This window comes from Homo sapiens, chromosome 19 (assembly GCF_000001405.40).
Source record: "Homo sapiens chromosome 19, GRCh38.p14 Primary Assembly".
Lineage (NCBI taxonomy): Eukaryota > Metazoa > Chordata > Mammalia > Primates > Hominidae > Homo > Homo sapiens.
The window spans coordinates 15,081,220-15,093,189 of NC_000019.10; the positions used below are offsets into that span (position 1 = coordinate 15,081,220).

Sequence of the window (11,970 nt, forward strand, 5' to 3'; positions counted from 1 at the left end):
GCTCACTGCAGCCTCAACCTCCAGGGCTCAAGTGATCCTCCCACCTCAGCCTCCTGGGTAACTGAGACCACGGGCATGTGCCACCAATCCTGGCTAATTTTTTTAAATTTTTTGTAGATATAAGGTCTTGCTGTTTTGCCCAAGCTGGTCTCAAACTTCTAGGCTCAAGGGATTCTCCAACCTTGGCCTCCCAAGTAGCTAGGATTATAGGCATGAGCCACCGTGTCCAACTCCAGTGCCAAGCAGGTGATCAAGAAGTGTTTGATAGGCCGGGTACAGTGGCTCAGGCCTGTAATCCCAGCACTTTGGGAGACCGAGGAGAGCAGATCACTTGAGGTTTGAGATCAGTCTTTCCAACATGGTGAAACCCTGTCTCTACTAAAAATACAAAGACTAGCTGGGCATGGTGGTGGGCACCAGTAATTCCAGCTACTCAAGAGGCTGAGGAGGGAGAATTGCTAGAACCCAGGAGGTGGAGGTTGCAGTGAGCCGAGATTGCTCCACTGTGCTCCAGGCTGGGTGAAAGAGTGACACTCCATCTCAAAAAAAAGTGTTTGATAAATTTATTTATTTAATACCGATTTATTGATTGATTGATACTCTTCGGAGCTTTCCTTAATGAGCCAGTTTCTTCCATAATGCAATGAATGAAAGGACCTCTCAGATTCAGGCATCTGAGTGCCCGACTGGAGTCTGGGACCCCCCAGACCTCTCTGCCTGGGAGCTTCCATGAAGCTCAGCCTGAGCTGGAAGGAGACCGTAGGGAGATGTCCTAGTGAGAGTGAATCCCTAGTCACTGTTTCCTCTTCTTACCCACTCGATGATCCCAAAGCACACCCATCTCCAAAAGAACAGGTCACATGTGGCAGAGGAGAAACAAAATAATTAGCATCCGCTTCCTTAACAAGGAGCTATGGGGACGAAGTCTCCTAGAGTCCCCAGACTATAAATACCCTGATGTTCCCCTGGCTCCCCCACTCACCTGCAGAGTCTGGGGGCGGGGGGGTACACATATGAATCCTTCCCATAGACATCAGGCTAACCCCAGCGATCACAGGTGAGTAGCCCCCATGCCCTTCCTAGGGGTTTAGTGCTGACCTCGGGATCCTCTAGCAGTTGGTGGAGAAGGAGGCTTCCCGGGACCCTCCCCTTGGTGATGCCATCCTGGTGAGCAGGTGAGGGATGGGGAAAGGATTGAGCTGAGGGTGGGGGTGGAGGGTTGTGGGAGAGGAATCTGTCTCCTTCCTAGAGGCCGAGAGAGAGAGAAGAGACTGAGACCAAGTCTAGACTCTCTGAGTGGACAAAGCACGCAGACGGCAGACCCTCTGTGGCAGGATATGTGGAGGAAAAGCACTGAGGGTCTGCAGCTGCAGGACACCTGCACAGATAGGAGAGGTCTTGAGAAACAAGTTTCTCCAATGCAGCAGCTCCCCAAGTGTGGTCCCTGGGCTAGAAGCACCAGCATCCTCTGGAAACTATCTAGAAGTGCTGGTTCTTACACCAGACATTTCAGGGAAAGGGCTTAGCTTTTTGTGTATGATGAGTTTGGGAGCGGGGGGGAGGGGGCGGGGGGATTGTTTTGTTTGTTTGTTTGTTCTTTCTGTTTTTGAGACAGGGTCTCGCTCTGTTGCCCAGTCTGGAGTGCAGTGGCATTATCATAGCTCATCGCAGCCTCGACCTCCCAAGCTCAAGTGATCCTCCCTCCTCAGCCTCCCGGGTACCTGGGATAACAGACATATACCACCATGCCTGGCTAATTTTATTTTCGTAGAGGCAGGGATCTTCCTATGTTGCCCAGGATGGTCTCACACTCCCGGGCTCAAGAGATCCTCCTACCTTGGCCCCCCAAGCAGCTGGGACTAACAGGTGTGTGCCACCATGTCCAGCTAATTTTTTATTTTGTAGAGATGGGGGTCTCACTGTGTTGCCCAGGTTGGTCTCTAACTCCTGGACTCAAGGGATTCTCCCACCTCAGCCTTCTGAGTAGCTGGGACTATGGAAGCATGCCACCATGCCCAGCAGATTGTTTTATTTTTTGTAGATCCAGGGCGGGATTGGGGGTGGGGTGGCCTCACTTTGTCTGCCAGGCTGGTCTTGAACTCCTGGCCTCAAGCAATTCTCCCACTTCAGCCTCCCAAAGTGCTGGGATTACAGGTGTGAGCCACCATGCCTGGCCCGCTTTTTGTGTTTTAACAAGCCTTCCAGGTGACCCTGAAGCGTGCTCAAGGTTGAGAACCGCTGCTCTATGCAACCCAAGTCAACAACTGAGGACTGTTACAAATATGTTGCCAGGAAGGGAATCGCAGTATTCTATCCAGCCTAGAGAAAACCAAGCATTGCATTGCAAAAACCTCAAGTCCAACACTAAAAAGCCTCAAAAAGTTAACATAGGGCTTTGCTGAAGGCCTCTTGGGGTTACCAAGGAGATTATGCTGCTAACCTTCCTAAAAACCCCTTTCATCGGCTGGGCGCTGAAATGATGAGATTACTGGGCTCACGCCTGTAATCTCAGTACTTTGGGAGGCCAAGGTGGGCGGATCACCGGGTCAGGAGTTCAAGACCAGCCTGGCCAACAGGCTTAGTAGAGGCGAAACCCCGTCTCTACTAAAAATACAAAAATTAATCGGGCGTGGTGATGCACACCTGTAATCCCAGCTATTCGGGTGGCTGAGGCACAAGAATCACTTGAACCCAGGAGACGGATGTTGCAGTGAGCCGAGATCGTGCCACTGTACTCTAGCCTAGGTGACAGAGTGAGACTCTGTCTCGAAAAGAAACACGTGTAAATGCTTGTAATTGAATATTTTTCCCTTGCACGTGTTGACAGCACAGAATTTAGCTTCGAAATGCCTCATAAAGAGGTGAGAGTGGCCATTCTTAGGGAGGCAGTGGAGTATGAGAGTGAAAATAAGTCTAAATTCAAAGGCGAGATCAGGCACTTGCAAGCTGAGTGCCCCTGGCAGCTCGCTCAGCCCCAGTCTGCTCACTGTAAATTGTAGCTAACACAATCTCCCTGTGGGAGTTATTGTAAGACCTATGCATTAAGAAACTGGCTCCTGGCTGGCTGCAGTGGCTCACGCCTGTAATCCCAGCACTTTGAGAGATCAAGCCGGGCAGATGATGAGGTCAGGAGTTCAAGACCAGTCTGACAAACATGGTGAAACCCCATCTCTACTAAAAATACAAAAATTAGCCATGCGTGGTGGTGCTCGCCTGTCATCCCAGCTACTCAGGAGGCTGAGGCAGGAGAATCTTTTGAACCCAGGAGGCGGGGGTTGCAGTGAGCCAAGATCGCGCCACTGCACTCCAGCTTGGGTGACAGAGTAAGACTCCATCTCAAAAAAGAAAAGAAAGAAAGAAACCGGCTCCTCATCAGGATAAATAGCTAATGCATGCTGGGCTTAATACCGAGGTGATGGCTTGATAGGTGCAGCAAACCACTATGGCACACGTTTACCTATGTAACAAACCTGCACGTCCTGCACGTGTATCCTGGAACTTAAAATAAAATGATAAAATTAAATAAAATAAAAATCATGCTGAGCAGCCAATAGCTGGGGGAAAAAAAAAGAAAGAAACTGGCTCCTAAGAAGGTTTAACCCATTACAGATATCATTATTGCTGAGGGCAAAATAAAAACACCTGTCCCAGCTACTAGGAAGGCTGAGGTGGGAGGAACACCTGAGCTCAGGAGGTACAGGCTGCAGTGAGCTGTGATTGTGCCACCGCACTGCAGCCTGGGTGACAGAGTGAGACCCTGTCTCAAAATAAATTAAATTAAATTAAATAGATCTTGTATTAGATAATTTTGCCTAACTGTAGGCTAACGTAAGTGTTCTGAGCACATTGAAGGTGGGCTAGGCTAAGCTGTGATGTTTGGTAGGTTAGGTATGTTCAATGCATTTTTGACTTATATATATATATATATATATATATATATATATATATATATATATATTTTTTTTTTTGAGACAGAGTTTCGCTCTTGTTGCCAAGGCTGGAGTACAGTGGCTCAATCTCAGCCCACTGCAACTTCTGCCTCCCAGGTTCAAGCGATTCTCCTGCCTCAGCCTCCCAAGTAGCTGGGATTACAGGCATGCACCACAACGCCTAGCTAATTTTGTATTTTCAGTAGAGACGGGGCTTCACCTTGTTGGCCAGGCTGACCTCTCAAACTCCTGACCTCAGGTGATCCCCCTGCCTCGGCCTCCCAAAGTGCTGGGATTATAAGAATGAGCCACCACGCCAGGTCTGACTTATGACATTTTCAATGTATGACCCCATTATCAGCCTCAGAACATCTGTACCTATCATTTCTTGGTGGTGAGAACATAAAATTGACTCTGAGTTTCTCTGGTATACAATGCATTGTTATTAACTATAGTCACTATGCTGTACAATAGATCTCTTGAATTATGCCTCCCATCTAATTGAAATTTTGTATTCTTTGATCAATATCTCCCTAACACCCACCTCCCGCCCCCAGCCCCTGGTAACCACCATTCTACTCTGCTTCTATGAGATTGGCCATTTTAAATTCCACATATAAGTGAGACCATGTGGTATCTGTCTTTCTGTACCTGGCTATTTTATGTAACAGAATGTCCTTCAGTTTCATCTATATGGTTGCAAATGATAGAATTTCCTCTTTTTTCCATGGCTGAATAAATAGTATTCCATTGTATATTCCTACCACATTTTCTTTATCCATTCATCGGTTTTTAACACAAAACTGATGTTAAAGATTACATATTGTTGGTGGAAGGATGAAGGGGAAGGAGGGTTGAGGGGGGAGGAAAGAAAAGAGGGAGATGGCCAGGCGCGGTGCCTCATGCCTGTAATCCCAGCACCTTGGGAGTCCAAGGCGGGTAGATCACTTGAGGTCAGGAGTTGAGACCAGCCTGGCCAACATGGTGAAAGCCCGTCTATACTAAAAATACAAAAATTAGCCAGTCATGGTGGTGCGTGCCTGTAATCCCCGCTACTTGGGAGGCTGAGGCACGAGAATCACTTGAACCCAGGAGGCAGAGGTTGTAGTGAGCTGAGATCGTGCCACTGAACTCCAGCCTGGGTGACAGAGCAAGACTCTGTCTCAAAAAAAGAAAAAGGAAAAAGAAAACAGGGAGAGAACACAGGAAAGGAAGAGAAGGAAAAACAGAAGATGGTCAGGTTCCCTTTACTGTATAGAGTTTTTGTTGAGGTTTGATTCTGCTTGATTTTCTTTTTTTATTTTTGTTTTTTGTTTTTTGTTTGAGACAGAATCTTGCTCTATAGCCCAGGCTAGAGAGCCGTGGCACAATCTCTGCTCGCTGCAAACTTTGCCTCCCGGGTTCAAGCTATTCACCTGCCTCAGCCTCTAGAGTAGCTGGGATTGCAGGCGCCCACCACCACGCCTGATTAATTTTTTTGTATTTTTAGTAGAGACGGGGATTCACCATGTTGGCCAGGCTGGTCTCGAACTCCTGACCTCAAGCAATCTGCCCGCCTCAGCCTTCCAAAGTGCTGGGATTACAGGCGCGGGCCACTTGGTTTTGTTTTCTATGAAGCTTTGCTCCACTGAAGGAAGCAAAAGTGTTTATAGAGAACATCCAAGTTGACTATGAGCGACTCCGTTAGATCCTTGAGACCCTGACTGTCTCAGGCATGAATGACTTGGCTTGAGGAGCAACAGAAGCCCACTGAAGATGGCTTGAGGTTAACTGAACACAAAGGAATTTGATGGATTTGATGGAATTTTCACAGAACAGTATAGGTTTCCGTGGGAAGCTGGGACCAGAATGGCATCTCTGACACCTGGCTCTGTGTGGTTTTTCTCCCTTTTTGTTCCCACTAGTCACAGACCATACATGGAACCAGAAAAGCAAACCGAAATCTCAGAATTCTTCCTCCAGGGACTCTCAGAAAAGCCAGAGCATCAGACCCTCCTCTTCACAATGTTCCTCTCCACATACCTGGTCACCATCATTGGAAATGCCCTCATTATCCTGGCCATCATCACGGACTCTCACCTCCACACACCCATGTACTTCTTTCTCTTCAACCTCTCACTCGTTGACACCCTATTATCCTCCACCACCGTCCCCAAGATGCTAGCGAACATCCAGGCTCAGAGCAGAGCCATCCCCTTTGTGGGCTGCCTCACCCAGATGTATGCCTTCCACCTGTTCGGGACCATGGACAGCTTTCTCCTGGCAGTAATGGCCATCGACCGCTTCGTGGCCATTGTCCACCCACAGCGTTACTTGGTTCTCATGTGCTCCCCTGTCTGTGGGCTGCTGCTGGGAGCATCATGGATGATCACCAACCTCCAGTCTCTCATACACACCTGCCTCATGGCTCAACTGACCTTCTGCGCCGGCTCTGAAATCTCCCACTTCTTCTGTGACCTCATGCCCCTGCTGAAGCTCTCCGGCTCAGACACGCACACCAACGAGCTGGTGATCTTTGCTTTTGGCATTGTCGTGGGCACCAGCCCATTCTCCTGCATCCTTCTCTCGTACATCCGCATTTTCTGGACAGTCTTTAAGATCCCTTCTACTCGGGGCAAGTGGAAAGCCTTCTCCACCTGTGGCTTACACCTCACTGTGGTGTCACTGTCCTATGGGACCATCTTTGCTGTGTACTTACAGCCCACATCCCCCAGCTCCTCCCAGAAGGACAAGGCAGCCGCCCTAATGTGTGGGGTGTTCATCCCCATGCTCAACCCCTTTATCTACAGCATACGGAACAAGGATATGAAGGCAGCCCTGGGGAAGCTCATCGGCAAAGTGGCCGTCCCCTGTCCTAGGCCAGAACAGTTATTGGATGTTTATCATGTTCCAGGATCACTGTTGGCTGCTAGGGACACAGAGATGCATCCCATCCCCTACCCTGGAGGAGTTCAGAGTCTAGCTGGGAACAGAGACATGGAATAAATCCTTCCAGTACAACGTGATAAATGTGTCATAAAGAGATGAACAAAGTGTATGAGCACCCAAAGGAAAGGTGTGCATTTTCCCCAGGATTTATCTTCCCCAAAAAGATCAGAATAGCAAGGATCAAACTGGCCTGAAATTAGCCCTCCTGGAGGATCAGCCTTTTAGGATTGCTATGTGAATAAGAGTAGTTGAAAACAAGAGACGTAGCTACACTCATTTTAGTATTGACAAAGGCCAGGTGTGGAAGCTCAAGCCTGTGATCCCAGCATTTTGGGAGGCCAAGGTGGAAGGATCACTTGAGGCCAGGAGTTTGAGACCAGCCTGGGCAACATACAGAGACCCTATCTCCACACACACACACAAAATCACTTTAGCAAGACATGGTGGTATACGCCTGTAGTCTCAGCTAATCAGGAGGCTGAGGCAGGCAGATCATTTGAGCCCAGGAGTTCAAGGTTGCAGTGAGCTATGACTGCACCACTGCACTTCAGCAGTTTGGGAAACTGAGCAAGATCTGTCACTCATAGGTAGATAGATAGATAGATAGATAGATAGATAGATAGATAGATAGATAGACAGACAGATAGATAGAGAGGATAAGATAAGATAGGTAGATAGGGTGGATAGATAAGATATGTAGATAGATAGATAGATAGATAGATAGATAGATAGATAGATAGATAGATATACAGATAGATACATAGATAGATAGGATAGATAGGTAGGTAGGTAGGTAGGTCAACCGATCGATAGATCTATCTATTGACAGACAGATAGATGATTGATTGATAGATAGATCATATAAGTAGATAGATGATAGATAGATAGATAGATAGATAGATAGATGAGATAGGTAGGTAGGTCAGTCGATCGATTGATCAATCGATCAACAGATAGATGATAGATAGATGGATGGATAGATAGAGATAGAGGAGGTAGGTAGATAGATAGATAGATAGATAGGTAGATACAGACAGCCCATGTATTAGCCAGTGTTTCCTAAGTGTTGTGGAAGAACTTTGAAAATATTTGCAAGTGAGATTAGCTCACGTGCTGTTCGCTTAGTCAGCCAGCAAGCCTCAGCCTCCTGGGGGGTCTTGAGACCTCCACTTGTAACTATGACTGTGGTTGGGGCTTACTTTCTCAATTCCCAACAGGCTTCCTGTCTCCCCACAACCCCCAGTCAAGGGGACTCTGATGCAGACGGTCCATCAATCGTAGTTTGGGAACACAGACCCTAGCCTAGCTCCAAAATCTATGTGTTTCCTGTGACATTCATCGCCTGACTCTGAACCCAGTATGATTCTACACGCAGGGTCAGCCACAGCAGATCAGGTGGCCCGGGGCACTTAAAAAGTTAGTGTTATGGGTTGAACTGTGGCTCCCAAAAAAAGATACGTGGGAGGCCAGGCGCAGTGGCTCACACCTGTAAACTCTGGCACTTTGGGAGGTTGAGTAGGGAGAATCATTTGAAGCTAGGAGTTCAGGACCAGCCTGAACAACATAGTGAGATCTCATCCCTACAAAAAATAAAAATGAAAAAAGAAAAAATTACCTGGGTGTGGTGGTGTGCACCTGTCATCTTAGTTACTCGGGAGGCTGAGACAGGAGGACCTCTTGAGCCAAGGAGGTCGAGGCTGCATGAGCTATGTTCCTGCCACTGCACTCCAGCCTGGGAAACAGAGCAAGGCCCTGTCTGCAAAAGTAATAATAATAAAATAAAAAAGATATGTTGAAGTCCTAACCCCAAGGACCTCAGAATGTGACCATATTTGAAGATAGGGTGTTTACAGAGGTCATTAGATTACAGTAAGGTCATTAGGTTGGTCCCTAATCTGATACGACTGGCGTCCTTATGAAAAGGGGAGATTTGGACACAGGCACCCACACACATGGAGACCGCCACATGAAGATGGAGGCAGAGATTGGGGTGATGCTCCTACAAGCCAAGGAATGCCAGGGACTGCCTGCAGACCACCAGAAGCCAGGAGAGGCGTGGAACAGGCTATCCCTCTCAGCCCTCAGAAGGAACCAAGGAATCAAAGCTGCTGACAACTGATCTTTTTTTTTTTTTTTTTTTTTTGAGACGGAGTCTTGCTCTGTCATCCCGGCTGGATGCAGTGGCATGATTTTGGCTCACTGCAACCTCCACCTCCCAGGTTCAAGCAATTCTCCTGCCTCAGCCTCCCAAGTAGCTGGGATTACAGGCACCCACCACCACGCCCAGCTAATTTTGTGTTTTTAGTAGAGATGGGATTTCACTATGTTGGCCAGACTGGTCTCAAACTCCTGGCCTCCAGTGATCTGCCCACCTCAGCCTCCCAAAGTGCTGGGATTACAAGCGTGGGCCACTGCACCTGGCCCAACACCTTGATCTCGGACTCTTAACCTCCAGAACTGTAAGACAACAAATTTCTATTGTTTAAGTCACCTAGTTCATGGTAATTTTTAAATTTTTTTTTCTTTTAGAGACAGACAGGATCTACTGTGTCACCCAGGCTGGAGTACAGTGGTGCAATCATAGCTAAAGTGCAACCTCACCTCAAACTCCTGGGCTCAAGCAATCCTCCTGCCTCAGCCTCCTGAGTAGTTGGGACTACAGGCCTATGCCACTGCAATCAGCTATATATATTTGTAGAGACAGGGTCTCACTATGTTGCCCAGGCTGGTCTCAAACTCCCGGCCTCAAGAGATCTGCCCTCCTCGGCTTCACAAAGTGCTGGGATTGCAGGTGTAAACCACCACACTCGGCCTGATTTGTGGTACTTTGTTGCAACATTGCTAGAAAACAAATGCAGTTAGTTTAAGAAATGTCAGCAACCTACAAAACCTACAAAGTGTCCCAGTACATCCTCTCAAGTTTACAATTGACCATGTGTTCTGGCCAAGGGACCCTGGGCTAGAACTGGAGAAAAGGATGAAGGATTTAGATTGCATGGATTCACTTACTGGGTATCAGCATGATGACAATAATGATGATGACAACCGAGATTTATTATCTGAACAATGCTAACTCCTTTATATGCACAATCTCAATAAGTGTTAAGCAACACCCCTACAAGGTAGGTGCAGAAGTAATTGTGGTTTTGCCACTGAAAGTAACAGCAGGCTGCGCATGGTGGCTCACACCTGTATTCCCAGCACTTTGGGAGGCCGAGGCGGGCAGATCACAAGGTCAGTAGATCGAGACCATCCTGACCAACATGGTGAAACCCCCTCTCTACTAAAAATACGAAAATTAGGCCGGGCACAGTGGCTCATGCCTGTAATCCCAGAACTTTGGGAGGCTGAGGTGGGCGGATCATGAGGTCAGGAGATCAAGACCATCCTGGCTAACATGGTGAAACCCCATCTCTACTAAAAATACAAAAAATTAGCCGGACATGTTGGCGGGCACCTGTAGTCCCAGCTACTCGGGAGGCTGAGGCAGGAGAATGGCCTGAACCCGGGAGGCGGAGCTTGCAGTGAGCCAAGGCCACGCCACTGCACCCCAGCCTGGGTGACAGAGCGAGACTCCTCCTCAATTTAAAAAAAAATACAAAACTTAGCCAGGCGTGGTGGCCCACACCTGTAGTCCCAGCTACTTGGGAGGCTGAGGCAGGAGAATGGCGTCAACCCGGGAGGCGGAGTTTGCGTGAGCCGAGATCGCCCCACTGCACTCCAGCCTGGGTGACAGAGCGAGACTCTGTCTCAAAAAAAAAAAAAAAAAAAAAAAAAAGTTTGTAATTTAAAAGTTTGAGCATCACTGGGCTAGATGGGGGTCCTGTAGATAACCGGGACCCAAATAGGCTTTAGGTACAGAGATACAGGAGAACCAGATTTGGGGTGCCGCTCTAGCCACTGTGTCCAGGAGGGAACCTTCCCAACCGCCCTAAAAGCTCTGAAAACTACAGTTAGAGAAGTGGCCACTAGGTGGCAATAATGTCATTTCACAAATTGGATTTAAAACGCTTTTTTTTTTTTTTTTTTTTTTTGGTTTTTGGTTGTTTTTTTTTTTTCCCCGGAAACTTGTATTCTAGCTGTGAACTGGCCCAGGTCCATGGCCCTTAGGTGTAATCTCCCCCTGGAAGGGCACAACAGGTGCAAAGTTTCCATGATGAGAAGGAGCCTGTGTTGTTTAAAGAAATCACGGAGACTGGTGTGGCCTGAGCCCAGAGTGACAGGGAAGCTGGGTTTGCAGGGGGCCCGTGGAGGGCACTGGGAGTAACACGGTGTGTGGACCACGGGGAGTGGGACCATGACAAGGTTTAAGGAGGATAGGGGGTGGGGCTGTGCTTCAGAACGAACCTGCCAGTTATCCATGCCATAGATCTGGAGTCAGCAAACTTTTTCTGTCAAGGTCCAGGTCGTCAATATTGTCAGCTTTAGGGACCTTACCATCTCCGTTGCAATGACTGAACTCTGCTGCTGTCTGGCGAAAGCAGCCATAGATGAGACATCAACGAATGGGCTTGGCTGTGTTCCACTAAAACTTTGTTTATAAACACAGAAGCTTCCATTTCATATCATAGTACATGTCATACCTTGTAGCCTTTGGGTTTGTTTTCAACCACTTTTAAAATGTTAAAACTACTCTAGGCCAGGTGCATTCACTCATGCCTGTAATCCCAGCACTTTGAGAGGCCAAGGGAGGAGGATTGCTTGAAGCCAGGAGTTCGAGACTGGAGTGGGCAACATAGTGAGACCTCCCCCATCTCTACAAAAATTTTTTAATTAGCTGGGCATGGTGGTGCATGCCTGTAGTCTCAGCTACTCAGGAGGCTGAGGAAGGAGGATCACTTAAGCCCAGGAGGTCAAGGCTGCAGTGAGCTATGATTGCACCACCGCACTCCAGCCTGGGGGATAGAGTAAGACCACTGTCTCTAAAAAACTTAAAAAATAAATAAATAAATAAAAATAAATGCAAAACTATTTTTATTTCAAGGGCTGGATTTAGCCTATGGGCCATAGGTTGCCAATCCTCGTATAGATGGATGGGAGTGACAAGAGTTAAGGGGACCAAGAAAGACCAAAAAGTGAGAGGTGAAGTGGGCTGAAAACCATCAGAAGATAA

At 47.7% G+C, this 11,970-nt stretch overlaps 1 protein-coding gene across 1 annotated transcript; it reads left to right on the forward strand.

The window, feature by feature from the left end:
* Window positions 1-991: 991 nt before the first annotated feature.
* On the forward strand, window positions 992-11,751 carry OR1I1 (olfactory receptor family 1 subfamily I member 1). The gene is made up of 2 exons (NM_001004713.2): window positions 992-1,057; window positions 5,834-11,751. Exon 2 carries the CDS (start codon window positions 5,847-5,849, stop codon window positions 6,912-6,914), a length of 1,068 nt encoding a protein of 355 aa, NP_001004713.1. The 5' UTR covers window positions 992-1,057; window positions 5,834-5,846; the 3' UTR covers window positions 6,915-11,751.
* The last annotated feature ends 219 nt before the right edge of the window (window positions 11,752-11,970 follow it).

Bases quoted from the DNA above. Each gene is read 5' to 3' on its own strand.
- OR1I1 (NM_001004713.2), top strand. From the start codon at position 5,847: ATGGAACCAGAAAAGCAAACCGAAATCTCAGAATTCTTCCTCCAGGGA.